At 43.5% G+C, this 17,314-nt stretch overlaps 1 long non-coding RNA gene and 2 pseudogenes across 1 annotated transcript; 1 reads left to right on the forward strand and 2 right to left on the reverse strand.

Moving 5' to 3' along the window:
• On the reverse strand, positions 2,320-3,577 carry GAPDHP23 (glyceraldehyde 3 phosphate dehydrogenase pseudogene 23; annotated as a pseudogene).
• HSD3BP1 (hydroxy-delta-5-steroid dehydrogenase, 3 beta, pseudogene 1) lies at positions 7,618-14,584 on the forward strand (annotated as a pseudogene).
• Positions 14,585-14,945: 361 nt separating this feature from the next.
• LOC124904388 (uncharacterized) lies at positions 14,946-17,010 on the reverse strand. The gene is made up of 2 exons (XR_007066503.1): positions 16,442-17,010; positions 14,946-15,411 (listed from the first exon to the last, which is right to left on the reverse strand). It is a non-coding gene; the product is annotated as an uncharacterized LOC124904388 (long non-coding RNA).
• Between the last annotated feature and the right edge of the window lie 304 nt (positions 17,011-17,314).

Consider the following 17,314-nt stretch of genomic DNA (forward strand, 5'->3'; position numbering starts at 1 on the left):
GGGATTACAGGCACATGCCACCATGCCCAGCTAATTTTTTTGTATTTTTAGTAGAGATGGGGTTTCATCATGTTGGCCACGTGGGTCTCACCCTCCTGGCCTCAGGTGATCCACTCTCCATGGCCTCCCAAAATGCTGGAATTAACAGTTGTGAGCCACTGCACCTGGCATTTTTTTTTTTTCTTAAACATTGGAGTTCCAAGAACTCTGGGATTGGCACAAAGTTCCAATTTCATCAGAAGACTCAACTGGGAAAATAGCTACTTTCAAGCTCACTTACATAATTGTTGGAAGATTCACTTCCTCGAAGCTCATTGGACCGAGAGCCTCAGCTCCCCTTTGACTGTTCGCTGCCCTCAGTTCATTGCTATATTGTCCTCTCCAGCATGGCAGCTTGCTTCATCCAGCCCAGTGAGAAAGAGGAAACGTAAAATCAAGATGGAAGTAACGATCTTTTCTAACCTAATCATGGAAGTAACATCCCATCATTTTTGTCTTATCATATTGATGAAAAGCAAGTTACTAGGTTCAGCCCACACACAAAGGAATGAATATGAAGAAGTAGAACCACTGGAGTCACCTTAGAGGCTGGCTACCATACCATCATTTTCAGCCTCTGGAGCACCTGGTTGAATGGCAGCTATGTGACCTTCCCAAAATAACTGACAAACAGAGAATTAAGTAGGAGATGGAAAAGAGATTTTGCCAAAGACTTCTTCTTCCTCACTCCAAAGGCCTTGCTGGGAAAGATAGCCAAGTTGAGCTCATATAAACCAAAAGCTCTGCCCCCAGTTCTCCTGTATGGTGGAGGAGATGGCCCATTTTTCCCTACTTCTGAAAACTGGCTCTTCAAGTACCCTTCAAATACCTGGGACCCTACTCATAGCCATGTTTTAGCTGGGAGGAAAATTGCTTCTCCTTGGCAAACAGCTTTGGCCTGTTCATTGGTCCCAGCCTCACATTAGTATGGAAAACTTTCTACTTTTTTCATTTTTGTGGTCACTGTTCTCTTCTATTTCTTTTTATGTATTAGTTCATAAGCACTAAGTTTCAAAAGCACTAAGACATTCTAGAGTCTTTGATTGTTCACTCATCCTTCCTTTCATTTATTCAGTAAACATTTATTAAGTTTCTATTACGTGTCAGATGTTGTGAAAATTCTTATGGTAATAAAAAGGTGTATGAGACACAGATGCTTTATTGAGTCAAACACTCGAAAATGTTTGAACATTTGCTCTGTACAAGGTGCTGAGGATTCATAAAGGCAGCAGTCCAGTTTTAAGACAACAAAAACAAACTCTTGACTCCACTGGCTGTAACACCTTTTTACTGAGATCTTCATGACACTACTTCTTGAACAGGTGTTTATTAAGTCACTGTCTTCACATTTTTCTTCTATTCCTCAACACACAGATGAATTGTGTGTTGGACTTTCCAATTGAACTTTCAACCCAACAGTTCCTGGAAATTTCTCTTACCAAATTACTTATGATGTTGTCAAAATCAATAATCAATTATTTTCCTATTGCATTTGATGCGTCAGCAGCATCCAATAGTGGTCCACACTCTTCTTGAAACACTTTCTTTGCTTGACTTTTACAAGGCCATCTCCTAATTTTCCTCTTGCCTGCTACCAACTCCTACTCAGTACATTTAGCTGGTCCCTCCTTCTCTGTTCAACCTCTAAATATTGATACATCTATTCCAGGATTCAGTCCAGGAACTTTCCCTTTTATCCATGAATATTCTTACCCTAGTTTATTTCATCTAATCCTGTGCCTTTAAAAATTATTCTGTGCTACTCATGTCCAAATTGACCTCTCTAGGACTATAGCACAAGGGGTGTCATTATCCTAAAGTAACACAGAAATTTAATAAGCTGGCCTAAAAGAGGGATTTCCTTTTCCCAACATGAGGGGCTGTGCCTACTATAGCTCCCTGTACAATGGGTGGCTTTATCCCCTAAGAAAAGGAAAACTCTTTGCATGAGGCCCAAGGACTCTAGGTGCTGGGCAGTTGAGTTTCACCATCTTGTGAACAGTTGGCACCTAAATCCAGACTGTTTCACACCAACAGCCTGTGTGTTCCTCCATTGTTAAAGCTGTGTCCTTCTGCTTACATGACAAAAAAAAAATTATAATAAGGGAGACTAGTGTTCCTACATTGGAATGCAGATTGCCGTTGTGAGCCCATCATTTCTTGACAATTTATGCATTAGCATAAAAAAGAGAATAGAGAAATCATGCTATCTATTCTTTTTCTGATCAGTAATCTTTGTGAGTTTTCCTAATATAGCATTTTTTTTTTGGCCTAGCACAGACAGGGGACTTTATTGATGGTACAGGACAAGGTGGGGTTCCCTAGGCCCCTCCCTCTTCAGGGGTTCTGCATGGAAACTGTGAGGAGGGGAGATTCTCAGTGTCGTGGGGGACTGAGTGTGGCAGAGTCTCCCCAGCACCTGAGGGCCTCTCTTTTCCTCTCTTGCTCTCGCTGGGGCTGGTGGTCCAGGGATCTTACTCCTTGGAGGCCGTGTGGGCCATGAGGTTCACCACTTTGTTGCTATAACCAAATTCATTGTCATACCAGAAAATGAGCTTGAGAAAGTGGTCACTGAGGGCAATGACAGCCCCAGGATCAAAGGTGGAAGAGTGGGTGTCAATGGTTAAGCTGAAGTAGACAACCTAGTGCTCAGTGTAGCACAGGATGCCCTTGAGGGGATCCTCTGATGTCTGCTTCACCACCTTCTTGATGTTATATTTGGCAGGTTTTTCCAGATGGCAGGTTAGGTCCATGACCAACATATTGGTGGTGGGTACATGGAAGGCCATGCCAGTGAGCTTCCCGTTCAGCCCATGGATCTCATTGCCCACAGCCTTGACGGCGCCAGTAGATGCAAAGATGAGATCTCTGCGGCCATGATGCCAGTTTCACGAAGGGGCATTCACAGTCTTCTGGGTAGCAGCGATAGCGCTGACTGTGGTCATGGGTCATTCCACTATTCCAAAGTTGTCATGAATCATCTTGGCTAGAGGTGCTATACAGTTGGTGGTACAGGAGGCATTGCTGATGTTCTTGAGGCTGTTTTCATACTTCTCATGGTTCATACCCATTATAAACATGGGGGTATCAGCAGAGGGGGCAGAAATGATGACTCTTTTAGCTCAACCTTGCAAGTGATCTCCAGCCTTTTCCATGGTAGTGAAGACACCAGTGGACTCTATGATGTACTCAGTTCCAGAATCACCCTATTTGATTTTGGTGGGATCTAGCTTTTGGATGATGGTGGTGGGATTTCCACTGATGACAAGCTTCTTGTTCTCAGCCTTGATGGTGCCATGGAATTTGTCATAGGTGGACTCATACTGGAACATGTAGACCATGTAGTTGAGCTCTATGAAGGGGTGATTGATGGTGAGAATATTCACTTTATCAGAGTTATAAGTAGCCCTGGTGACCCAGCACCCAATAAAGCCAAATCCATTGACTTAGGCCTTCATTTTCACCATGGTGCCTCAGGGATGTGGCTGGCTCTGCACGAGAAGATGATGCTGTCTGTCAAATGGGAGAAGCAGAAAGCTACAGCATATTATTTAACCCATAATTATCACACTGAGAAATTCTTCACATGCTCAGATGCCAATAGGTGGTGACTCAGATGAGCATCACTTGATACAGCAGGCTGACATTCCCTGAGCATGTGGACAATTCCGTTGTCTAATTATCACTTGGTTAAAAGACTATGCTTTCCCCCATTGGATTTCCTATTGTCAAAATCAATTGGCCATATGAATCCAGGCCATTAACACAGACATAGGCAAAAATTCCCTCATAATAAATTATAGGCTTAAATGTAAAGGCTAAATTATACACCTCTTAGAAGAAAACATAGGTTAGCGTATTCATGATCCTGAATTAGACAAAAACTCAACTTTTCCTGGTTAAAAAAAGAGTTGAAAAATGAAACATGATCAAAACTAAAAATGTTTGCACTTAAAGACAACAATAAGAAAATGAAAAGATAAGCCACAGACTGAGAAAAAATATCAAATTCTATGTTTGATAAAGGACTTATATCCAGGATATAAAACACACTTACAACTGAACAACGAAAAGATAAATAACCTAATTTTATAAATGGGCAAAATATTTAAATAGCCATTTCACCAAAAAGGTGTAGGAATAGCCAATAAAGTACATGAAAAGATAGTCAGCATCATTAGTGATCAGGGAAATGCAAACTGAAACTACAGTGAGACATTACTTCTTACCCACTAGAATGCTATAATAAAAAAGGACAGAAGCAACTGGAGGAAGTGAAAAAACAATGATGTGGAAAAATCAAACTACTCATGCATTGTCGATGGGACATGCAGCCATGTTGAAAACCAGTTTGGCAGTTTCTTAAAAACTTTGAAGATACATTTACCATATGACCTAGCACTTTCACTCCTAGCTGTTTACCCAAAAGAAATAAAAACCTATGTCCACACAACACATGAATGTGAATGAATATTCATAGCAGCTTTATCCATAACAGTCCATAAAGTGGAAACACATCAAATATCTATCAACAGATGAATGAACAAACAAATGGGAACTATCAATACAATTTAATAGGATTTGACACCTAAAAGGAATGAAATATTGATATGTGCTACAACATAGATAAAACACAAAAGTATATTAAGTTAGGTGAAAGAAGACAGATACAAAAGACCACATATTGCATGATTCTATTTATATGGTGTCCAGAAAAGGCAAATCTGTAGAGTCAGAAAGTCAATTAAGGGTTGCCTTGAGTTGGGGAGTGGGAAGAAAAGGTGGCAACTGATAAGCATGAGGGATTTTTTAGGAATGATAGAAATGTTGCAAAACAGGGTCGTGGTAATGGTCACACATGTCTAAAATTTTACTAAAAATAATTGAACTGTACACTTAAAAAAGGTGAATGTTATGATATGTCAATTATACCTTAGTAAAGCTGTTTAAAAACAAAAAAGTTTAGTAGTGTGGGCCCCATCTGTCTTGCCCTTTGTTTAATTTCTCACTTTCTTCAGGGCTTATATTTATTGCTTCCACTCAGAGATTCCAAGAGACACTGGCTGAAATCTATCAGCCTCCAGAACTCTCAACAGCTGAGGGAATGTCCGGCCCCACCCTGAAGGTGATGGGGTATCTATAAGGTACACTCCAGCATCTGATACAGCAGACAAAGGCATGCGATGCACCTGAGTGGTTTCAGATAGTGCTCCACAAGTCTCAGCAAGACCCAGGGCCTGTAGCTAGTTCCGATAGTTTCAGAGAACCAGCTGCTACATCTTCCAGCACAGGGCCAACCTTTCCTAGGCAAGTGGGTTTGAAGCATTGGTAGTCAGACCCCAAGTAGCAGATGAATGTCTACAACATGGGAGGAGGGCAAGACCCAGAGTGGGGTTTCAAACCAAATCATTTGTAGAGTATTATTTCCAGCAACTGCAAAAAGCATTCTTTTCACATGCTTATGGCATTTTCACCAACATAGACTATTTGCTGCACCATAAAATAAGTCTCAATGTATATCCAAGGATCAGAATCATGTGGAGAATATGCTATGGCCACAATAGTATTTAATTAGAAATCTGCAACAATAAGATATATAGATGGCTCACACCTGTAATCCCAGCACTTTGGGAGGCCGAGGTGGGCGGATCACAAGGTCAGGAGATCAAGACCATCCTGGCTAACACGGTGAAACCTCATCTCTACTAAAAATAGAAAAAATAGCCGGGCGTGATGGCGGGCGCCTGTAGTCCCAGCTACTCTGGAGGCTGAAGCAGGAGAATGGCATGAACCCGGGAGGCGGAGCTTGCAGTGAGCTGAGGTCTTGCCACGGCACTCCAGCCTGGGCGACAGAGCGAAACTCCGTCTCAAAAAAAAAAAAAAAAAAAAAAAAAAAAGATATCTAGAAAGCCCCCAGTCTTAGAAAACAAGCAACATAATCTGAATTACACTTTGGTCGTAGATGAACTCACAAGAAAAAATTTAAAACATCAGTAACTGAGTGATGATAATGCATCAAAATGTTGGCTACAGCTGACATAGTGCTTAGAGAGAAATTTACAACTTTAAATGCCTATAGTGGAAATGAACAAAGGAGTAAAGTCAATTATCTATATTTTCATCATAAGAATACTGAAAAATAACTGTAAAATAAACACAAAATTAATAAATGTAAGCCAATAATAAAGAAAATCATGAAATAAAAAATGAACAAACAATAGAGACAATCAATGGTCAATTTTTCTATACTCCATGAACAAAACTTCATTTCAGAATGATTTTATATTTAAATATGTATCCAGAACCACAGAAATCTTAAAATAAAAAGTTAGGAAAATATGGGAATAAAATAAGAATTCTATGAGAATAAAAATCAGAAAGTAGTTGTCTACCAAGTAGGTTGGGTACAGTGCAAGGAATTAACTAAGAACTTCTTTTCAAGAAGAAAATGGCCTCTGTTTTTTTGGATGGTACTTACACGGGCATACATAACTGTCAAGTTTCACTGGACTGAACACTTGAGATCTGGGCAGTTTAATGAATACAAATTACATTTTTTTAAGTAAAGAAAGTGTCTCAGGAGCTTACGGTGGGTAAATTTGGGCAGTTCTAATGCATAGGCTTCAGAAGCACTCACAGCATGTTCAGTTCAGGAATTTGCTGAAAATGGTTTTGCAGCCAAAAATATGGCATAAGTTCAAACATCTATGACAAGAGTCATTGGGGCAAACAACTACAATCTCCACTCTTGTGGTACGGGCCATATTATTAAGCAGTTATCAATAGATACCTTTCCTTCAATGATGTTCTTCATCTAGTAACCCAGAGCTCTTCAGGGGAAAGTTGCAATTGAGGTCTTGGATATATTCAGTAGGAAAGAAAGTCACCTCACATAAAACTAAGTGATTGGAGCTGTCACCATTGCAAATTTCTAAACTTTACAAGATAATAGCAACATTTCAAATGACACTCAGACAGGAAATAATGTGCTAATGTGGATTCCCCTCCAAACATATTTACTGCACAAAGGCAAAGTTCACATTGCACTTGGAGATATCTCCCAGTCTAGTTTAACTTCACAGATTGCAGATCCCAGACAGCTGGTATGAACTGACCAGCGTCCTGTTAAGGCTAAACCTAAGACTCTTTACCACACTCTTCTCCACAGACTCTTTACCACACATTTTACCACTTAATCTTTTTCGAAGAGTGGCCTTAGGATTGGATTTCTCTTCCTGTTCCTGGGAAGAATTAGAGATATAACCTAAAGGTCACTATTCTTCTGAGAAAAGGGATGCCGGAGGAGATGGGAGCAATGAGTATGTGGCATGAGTTCAGAGTGATAAGGGACAAGCTAGGAGCCACAGAGCATAAAGCTCCAGGGCTGCCTTAGGGAATGAAGTGGCCAGCACCTTGACTCTTCTGTCCAGCCTTTTAACCATTTAATTAATGGTGAAAGCTTTTTCATTTTCTTTCAGCTACTCTTGGCAGTGGTGGGGACATGGAATTTTTGCAAACAATGTGGTGGAGGAAAATAAGGCATCTGTGCAAGTCTATAACCACTTTACCTCTGTTTTTAGTCCTCTCCATGGTCACCCTAGAATAAGATCTGCTCCCCAGGATCTTCTATTTCCTGGCGAGTGTTTCCTGCAATCTTGGATTGGCCATGATGGGCTGGAGCTGCCTTGTGACAGGAGCAGGAGGGTTTCCGGGTCAGAGGATTGTCAACCTCTTGGTGAAGGAGAAGGAGCTAAAGGAGATCAGGGCCTTGGACAAGGCCTTCAGATCAGGATTGAGGGAGAAATTTTCTAGTAAGTAAACTTGAGTCATGGGTGTGTGGCTACATTTTAAACCTTGCATGGGTGTGGGAAGGTGGAGCTTTTCTGGCAAGTTATGGCAAGTTGTAGCCAAACCTAAGCCAATCCCACATCCAAAGTCATCAAAAAAAGAAAATTAAATAGTATAAAATGGCATAGTGTGAAAGATACTGGACAGGCTGTCCAGAGACTGGATTCTGGCCCTGACCCAGAACTTGAGAGGCAGCCACCTCAGCCTCCAGGCCTCTTTTCATCTAGAAAATCCCACATCAGTTCTCATTCTTGTCTACAAGTCTTTTATGCTCTGAAGCTTTTTGTCTTGGCAATTGCTTTACATCATTCACAAAGGACAGCATTTACCTGGAGACCTCACCAGTGGGTCCCTGCCTGTCTAGACTGCCCCAAGCTTTGTTTTGTTTCATAGCATCCTCAGCATCTTTAGTGGAGGTAAAATAAAAGGAAGCGGAGGTAAAGATGAGTGTTTAAGTGTGTGTATGTGTGTGCATATGTGCCTGTGTGTGCATGTCAGAGAGTGAGAAAGAGAGAGAAAATGAAGGGGAGAGAAAAATCAGAGAGAGAAAATGAGAAAGATGGAGAACGAATGAGAAAGAGTGAGAGAGAGAGCAGCAGTGAGAGGGAGACAGTGTGCACAAGCACACAGCACAGAGCAGAGACAGAGTAAGAGGCAGTATAAGGCCAGGCATGCCTCATTTTCATTTCTCACATATGGCTTTTTTTTAAAAACCATTTGTCTCTGTTGCTCAATACCCGCCCCCCCCCCACCCCCACCCTGCAATTGCAGAATTTGTTGTAGCAACTCCTTGTGCAAATAACACTATGAGGAAGGTGGTAGAAAAGGGGTGATATCCAAGTGGACAATGAACGCATCAAGGTCCAGAAACAAAGCGATTTGCCAAGGCCATCTGATTAATGTGTAGCAGAGCTCAGACCAAAGCTTCATCCAGAGGCTTCACTTGGCCCTGGGGCTGACACTTGGCAAAATGGGTCTTCAGTCTCTCCTTTTGCCTCCCTGTGTGTCCAATTCCCTGTCCTCCTCCCCATCCCATGGGATTGGGAGGACTGTGTATCTACATGTGGGCTCTGATTGTGCAGAGGGTCATGTGCTGCCCACAGAAGAGTCCCCACTTGACAGCACTCAGGGACCACACCCAGCACTCTACTCTTCTTTCACTCTTCTCTGACCTCTTCTGATTTCCTCCACCCTCTGTTCTAATGGTGTCTTTGATAAACAAATATTAACACTTCATGAATTTTAAATGATTGTAATCATTATGTCTCACCAATATTTGCACTCTAACACGTAATACAAAGAAAAAGCAATGCTTAGCCTAGAGGAACAATTCCCCTGTGGTGAAAATGCAGGGGTATAATGGATGGGCAAAAGACTGTATGAAGATAAAAACAGAGAATCCTTTCAGTGTTTTTTCTGTGCCAGGCACTGTGCTACATGGTTTGCATGTGCCCACTCATTTGCTGCTCATAACAGCCCTATGAGATTGTTAATGTTATTAGCCTCCTTTCTTACAGATGAGGAAACAGTCAGAGAGAGATTAATGAACTTGTCCAATGTTCCACAGTTAGAATATGGCAAAGTTGGATTTGAACCCATGTGGTCTAGTGCAGCATCTGTGCTCTTAAGCAGTAGTTCGTCTAGCAGCTTGAGGAGGGAGGGAGCAATGGCTCCATCCACAAAGTCCCCTTTCCTGGTCTCTCTAGTTCCCTGTGAACTCACTGCGGAAGAGTCATTTTCTCTTGGCTTTAGACTTCTTCAGCTTTGAAATGACAATTCCTTTGAGCCAGTCTGAAGTTGGCAGCAAATGGGAAGCAGATGAAGGGAGCAGGAAGTACAGAGGTGGAAATACTACCAGAGAAAATTCCACTCTCAGGCTGTCACCCACCTCCTCCCCAGCAGCCTCTTCCCTGCCTCCCCCATTCCAGGGCCTCCTTGGAGTTGCCTGACAGTGGGAAGGGGCTGGGAGTAGACAAAACAAGGCAGAGGCATCAGGAGAGCAAATGGTCCCACCTGTATCCCAGGAAGGAATTTCTCCTGCTTTGAATTTTTCACTCTGAATTTTACTCTCACTGTTCTTTGGCCTTTGTTGCCAATTTCAGTTAAACTGACTTATTCTTACTCTTTCTCAGAAAAGTTGATTGTAAACAGCTATTCCTGCACCTGGTGTACAGGGTACAAGACTTGGAGGTGGGGTGGGCAACTTTGAGCCTTCACTAGAAACGTGACCTTTAATCTGTCCCTTAACCTCTCTGAGCCCCAGTTTCTTCACCAATAAAATGGGATTCAGAACACCTACCTCATGAGACAGCTGTAAAAGGAAATAAGCAAGCTGTGAGCTGTATGCAGATTATAAAGCACAAATGAGTGTAAAGTATTTATCTGAGCTCCATGTAGCATGGTGTTCATTTTGTGGGCTAATTCCAGGTGACAACTTTACTGGCAGCATCACTACCTGTGGATTTCAGAGGAGCCTGAAGACATTGATGTTGTAACTGCTGCCCTGGGCTACACAGCTGGATGTTAGTTCATTGGTGACTGACTCATTTTCAGCATTTGTACCTCCTTTGATAATATCCAATAAGAATTTTCAAAAAAATTCATTATTTAAACTCTTCTGCAATTCGCTAGTAATGGCTCCACTCTCCTCCCAGTTGCTCAAGCAGGAAACCATAGGGGTGATTTTATCTTCTCCTTTTCCTCTCAGCCAAGATCCAACAGGTACCAGGACCTTCAAGGTGAGGTCTGAAATTCCAACCTGGTGTATCTCTCTCCTCCTCTGCTTCCACTGCTGGACCCCGCTTCCAGTCCTCATCTAAACTTTGGCACAGACATTCTGATTAATCTCTTGATCCCCTGGCTTTCTCATATCCCCTATACCAGTCCATTTTATATCCTTGAGGCAAGGTTAACTTCCTACACTACAATTCTGCTTCTGTTTTTCTTTTTCTTTTTGAAACAGGATTTTGCTGTGCCACCCAGGCTGGAGTCCAGAGGCATGATCTCTGCTCACTGCCACCTTCACCTCCTGGGACCCATCCATCCTCCTACCTCAGGCTTCTTATTAGCTGGGAGTGTAGGCATTCACCACTATGTCTGGCTAATTTGTGTATTTTTGGTAGAGACGGGGTTTCACCAAGTTGTCCAGGCTGGTCTCAACCTCCTGGATGCAAGCGATCCACCTGCCTCAGTCTCCCAAATTGCTAGAATCACAGGTGTGAGCCACCACCCCTGGCCTGTTTCTCTACTTGTTCCAAATATAAATAAGGGGTTTTCTGTGACATGGTGCTGGAGACCGAAAATCACAATTCTGCATTACCTACAGAATTAAATTCAAACTTTTCCCTCTTATACCCAACTCTCCACAATCACCCTACTCTCCTTAAAAATTTTGGTGAGTCTCCCATGACCCTAGCCGTGCTTATATTCCAGGCACACCTGACAGCTCATTGCTCAGATTACTTTTCTGAAATGAGATGGGGTAGAAACAGATGTTTGCTCTTTCCCAAAAAATTGCTAAACGTGCTGACTTCTGTGCCTTTGTTTAATTGTTCCTTCCATGGAGTGTACATCCTCCACTCTAACAACCCAACTCTAACCATCCTCGAACACCTATGTAACATCATCTTTATCAGGAAACTTCCAAGCCAGATTCGGAAACCCTTCCAATGACCTGACCTATGTTCTTGCAGAGCTCCAGAACAAGACCAAGATGACAGTGCTAGAAGGAGACATTCTGGATCAGTCATGCCTGAAGAGAGCCTGCCAGGACATCTCGGTAGTCATCCACACCGCCTCTATCATTGACATCTTCGGTGTCACTCACAGAGAGTCTATCATGAACTTCAACGTGAAAGGTACAGTAGCCTGAGGAGGAGATGGAGCAAGGTGGAGCAAACAAGGATCAGAAAGATAAACAATGAAGGAAGAGAAGTCCCTCCGCTGAACACCTGCTATGCTCTGGGCCAAGTGTCTTTGCTAATCACTACCAACTGGGGGAGTTCAAAGCTGCTACCTTCAGTTTTTTACATGAGAAGACTAGGGCTGAGAGATGGCAAGTAACTTGTCCAAGGCCCCCCAGGTAAGTAAGTAAGTAGGAGAATGAGACTTTAAACTCACCCCTGTGTGACTCCAAAGGCTGTGGATGCTCTTTCTACTGTGGCTCCAATCAAATTCAGCTAAACTCCGACTTCAGACTCTTGATATCCAGCCACCCCTTGCCTCTGTGGGCCAGAATCAAATCTTCCAAGTGCCACTATAGTCATCATTTTAAATCTTGTTGTACACTGATGAGAATGAAATGGGAAAAATCCCTTGTCCCCTTCACAGTGCGTGTGATGGGGGTGTGGCTCCCTCCTTCAGTGCCCCTGCTCAGACCACTAGGGGAGCATACGGATGAGCAGGCTGGAGGGCTCCAACTCCAAAGCAGCATCTAGGGGCAAATGTTCACAGCTCCTGAAGCCCCAGTGGGCATGTGTTACATGGTGCTCTTTTAGTTTTGCTCTTTTAGTTTTGCCGTCTATAGGCAGCTTGTGTTAACCAGCTCAATTAGACCTTAGACCGTCCAGCTTGCCACAAGGACGGAGGGCTTTCTATATCCTGGGTTCTTCTCTTAGTGTACCAGAAAAATTGAATCACACCTGAGCTTGGAGAATGAGTGCAAGCTTTTATTGAGTGGAGGTAGCTCTCAGCAGATGGAGGAAGCCAGAATAGAATGGTTTTCCCCCGGAGTGTGCTGCTCAGTGGCCTGACACTTCCCTAACTGCTTGGCCAAACTCTGCATCCTTCTGCTGGTCAGTGCATCCCTCTCAACATCCAGCTGCCCTGTGTTTCTTCACTGATGTGCTTCCCTCAACATCTAGCTGCTTCTGTCTTCTTCCCCTGATCTGCTCCTCTTGACATCCAGCAGCTTGTGTGTGTCTGCTAGAATCTTGGGCCTTTTTAACAGGCACAGAATTAAACATGTGTATTAAACAAGGAAAGAATTTAGTGCCAAAGATTACAGAGACAAGAAGTAAAATATACTAACAACATTGTACGAGCTGTTTCACCCTGGACTGGTTAAACTTTAGAAGAGACATAACTGTTCTTGGCATATCTTTAGCAGTTAACAGATGCACCCCAGGAATTCTGGGGTTTGTGGGCTTGCACCAAGGCCAGTAAAGCTTTTGGTTTTTTTCTGTATCTCCTCTCTCTTTCCTGGGCTTTTCTGTCTCTATGAGGAAAGACCGAGATGGCCACTTTCAGGAGCTCCTCTAATGTACTATCTGATCCCAGAGCCTGTTTCTGCAACTTCCTCCTGATGACAGGAGCTGCCTGAGTAATAAATTTATCGTTTAGATGTCTCTCGACTGAGGCAGGAGATAGAGAGGTGTGCTTTACTAAGACCTCACTTAGCCTTTCCAGTAGGATTTTCATTTTTGTGTTTTTCCTATGGCTGTAGCATGACCCAATCTCAGTCAGATCCACTGAAGAATGTACCTCGAGTCTATTACAACCACTGAACTTGGGAGTGGGGAGTGAGACACATGGATCTGTTCACGTGGTTGGTCCCCCTTAGGGATATTTCCTGACATTGACAGCATGCTCTTCATGGGCAGGTACCCAACAGCTGTTGGAGGCCTGTGTCCAAGCTAGTGTGCTAGTCTTCATCCATACCAGCAGCATACAGGTAGCCTGGCCCAACTCCTACAAAGAGATTTTCCAGAATCGACACAAACAAGAGCATCTGGAAAACACATGGTCTGCTCCATATCCATACAGCAAAAACTTGCTGAGAAGGCTGTGCTGGTGGCTAATGTGTGGACTCTGAAAAATGCTGGCATGTTGTACACTTGTGCCTTAAGCTCAATGCATATCTATGGGGAAGGAAGCCCATTTCTTACTGACAATATAAATAAGGCCTTGAAAAACAATGCGATCCTGTCAACTGTTGGAAAGTTCTCCACAACCAACCCAGTCTATGTGGGCTGGGCCCACATTCTGGCCTTGAGGCCCTGTGGGGCCCCAAGAAGGTCCCAAGTGTCTGAGGACAGTTCTACTACATCTCAGATGACACGCCTCACCAAAGCTATGATAACCTTAATTACGCCCTGAGCAAAGAGTTCGGCCTCTGCCTTGATTCCAGATGGAGGCTTCCTTTAGCCCTGAGGTACTGAATTGGCTTCCTGCTGGAAATAGTGAGCTTCCTGCTCAGGTCAATTTATACCTATTGACCTCCCTTCAACTGCCACACAGTGACATTGTCCAACAGCATGGTCACCTTCTCTTACAAGAAGGCTCAGCGAGATCTGGCGTATAAGCCAATTTACAGCTGGGAGGAAGCCCAGCAGAAAACCATGGAGTGGGTTGGTTCCCTTGTGGACTGGAACAAGGAGACCCTAAAGTCCAAGACTCAGTGATTTAAGGATGACAGAGATGTGCATGTGGGTATTGTTAGGCGATGTCATCAAGCTCCATCCTCCTGGCTTCATACAGAAGGTGACAAGGGCACAAGCCCAGATCCTGTTGCCTCCCTTTCACACAATAGCCAACTTATTATCTTCCTGTGCCATCAAAACCTGTGCAGTCAGTGGCCTAACCAAAAGCTTTCTGTCCTAATCACATGCCAGAGGACACACAAGGTGATTTGCTGTTACCAAATCTCGTGGCCTGATTCTGAACAATTTGGGATCTCTTTTAACTTGAGGGTCTCTTTCGACTACTATAGCTCCATTTCCCCTCTTAAATGAGAAGGGATTTCTTTTCTTTTAAATCTCCTATTTCTTCACAGAGTTCAATGAAAAGAGTAATAAATGATTTAATGCTTAAAGTGGAGAAAAGTGTGGTTACTGTTAATACATACTTTTCTCCTTTCTTTTACATTTCCAGGTATCACCATCTCTCATTTAGAAGAGTAGGCTGAAACAGGGGTTAGGAGGTGGGCAGAGTAGTGGGAGGGTCAGGGAGGGCGGATGAAGACTGAATGAATAAGCTCTACTATGTTTCACACATGTACAACATAACCTACATATGACATATATTATCTCATTTAATACTCATCAGAAATCTATGAGGTAGAGTGACAATTTCCATTTTATTAGCAAGGAAACTTGTGCACAGTCACACTGATTAGTGACTAGGCCTGCTATGAGGGAGTTGGCCTTGAAAGTCCTTATCTTTCCACCCAATTACACAGCCTGAACTGGTCTTGTCCGTGGTACAGCAGAGCACTGAAGCATGGGGTGCCGATTTATGGGAGAGCCCCGGCTACCTTGGATTACCTCCTTCTTGCCCAGTCCCTTGCAGGGGACTCTCTAGAATCCAGGAGAATCCTCGAGGAGTATCTGGAAGGGTTTGCATGCCTTAGCAAATGGCCCTGAGCAGGGCAGAGAGAAGCAAAAATGCATCCAGCCTCCACCTTCAGTGCCAATTTCCTTGAAGGTCTGTAGAACACACCTGGCTATATGTGTGTTGATCATTCTGGTTATTCATAACCCTGCATTTCACCCTTCCAATCACCCAATGAAGCCACATCATGGGTTCCTGGGCAAGTAAAGAAAACAAGTGTGAACTTTCCCCAAAATATACCTTCTATTCAGCCTCAAAGTAGAAGTCTACTATCCCATATCCCCAGATTTAATGGTCTCTCTCTCCTTTCTCTTTTTCATTTTAAATTACATCTGTTCTTCCTTCATTCTTCCATCTCCTTAGCCACTTTCTTCTCTCTATCTCCCCTTTAATCACTGGTCCTCTCATTTGTCTCAATTTCCATGAAGAGATGAGGCCAATCAATATAAGTTTGGGGACTTCAATGATGACATAGTTATTAAGCAACCAACAAAAACACAGTCAAAAGAAACACTGTCAGGGGCATCAGGGACAGAATTGAGCGGAAGCAGGTGAGGAGGTTGCTGTGGGTCAACAGTGTGGGGAGGGGAAGCTATCTCCTCTGGACCTGGATGTATCACAGCATGATTAGAGTAATACACAACATCAAGATGACTTCTTTCTTACAGAGGAAATTTACAGATCATTAATCAGTTGAATTTGATTACCACAAAGGAATTAGTTTCAGTGTTCATCCTGTAGAGTAAAGGAAACCATATTCTGGCCCAGATGAACAGGTTTCCACCATCGTCAAAACCACAAGGGACAGATGATCAGCACTAGCATCAGGGGGTGTGGCCCCAGGCAGTGGGGTAACGTGGAAAATGGAACACCCATCCTTCCCCGGCCACTGCACAAAATGCAAGAGCCAGCATCTGTCCAGCTCTTGAAAGGCATGCACACCATCCGTATGTTAATGTCAAATAGAATGGGAAGAAAAGGAGAGTGGTGGAATCTGAGGAAAGAGCCCTTCCCCCTGGTTTTTCAGCCTTGCGAAACCCCACGCCTATAAAACCACCAGGGCACTTTTCACAGGGAAGGTAAAGAAAAGGACATATTTTCAACGGGCAGCAAGGGTTGCTTAAAGAAAGAGACGAGGGAATCGGATGGGCCAGGATTCTCAACTGAACAAGCAATAAGGCCTTGTTGTGTTGTGGCCAACAAAATGTGCCATCACTTCTTATACCTGAGGGTGTGAGGCTGGCGGAGCTCCTGCACCAAACTCTGCTGCACCTCACGAGACTCACCACACAGCGGCAGCAAAGTCTCAGAGGGAAGAACAAGGAAGGAAACCTGACCCAGCACGGACTTTTAGGTGTCTTTTCTCCACCGGGGTGGCTCTGCAGGGTACCTGGCAAAGGAATGAATGAAAACACAGGCAAGTGCTCAGCCACCAGCTTAAGGGTTTAGGTATATGTGAGTACAGAGAATGGAGCTGAGCTGAAGTCACTGGGAAAAGCCACAGGAGCCAGTGGGGCTTGAAGGAGGCCTTGGATTCCTGGTTCCAAGGCAGGGGGCACAGTTTGGGCAGTGGTGAAGAGGAGGATGAGGGACATGAGGATGCCCACCCGCCTTCTGGGAAACGTGTACAGAGGGCAGATGAGGAGCTCAGGTGCAAGACTCAGCCATGGACCCGACAGGCAGGCTCCCAGGCCAGGGATGGAGTGGGGAGCCCACAGTGGCCTAGAGAGATCTTGCAGAAAAGTGGCCAAAGTCCAACTCTTATGTGAAATCTTTTCATTTCTAAATATTAGTGACTAACCCTAAATTTGAAAAAGCAGTGTGAAGACCAGCTCCAGGGGAGGGATATGTGGGCTAGTGTTCAAACTGTATGTGTAACATTTTGTATCTTAAAAAGTGGGTGGCGAGGTGTCAGCAGCAAATCTGTTCATTCTTGGTGATAAGTCCCAAATATACATTATTATATAATATTCTCAGTTTTTCTGTATGTTTAACACAGGTCATGATTTTTTAAAAAAATTAAATTCTGTGAGGGAAAAATATGCAAATTAACAAAACACATTCAAAGGTTGACCCCAGGCTTAAGGCCTCCGATTTT

The sequence above is a fragment of the Homo sapiens genome, chromosome 1 (assembly GCF_000001405.40).
Source record: "Homo sapiens chromosome 1, GRCh38.p14 Primary Assembly".
In the NCBI taxonomy this organism is placed as follows: domain Eukaryota; kingdom Metazoa; phylum Chordata; class Mammalia; order Primates; family Hominidae; genus Homo; species Homo sapiens.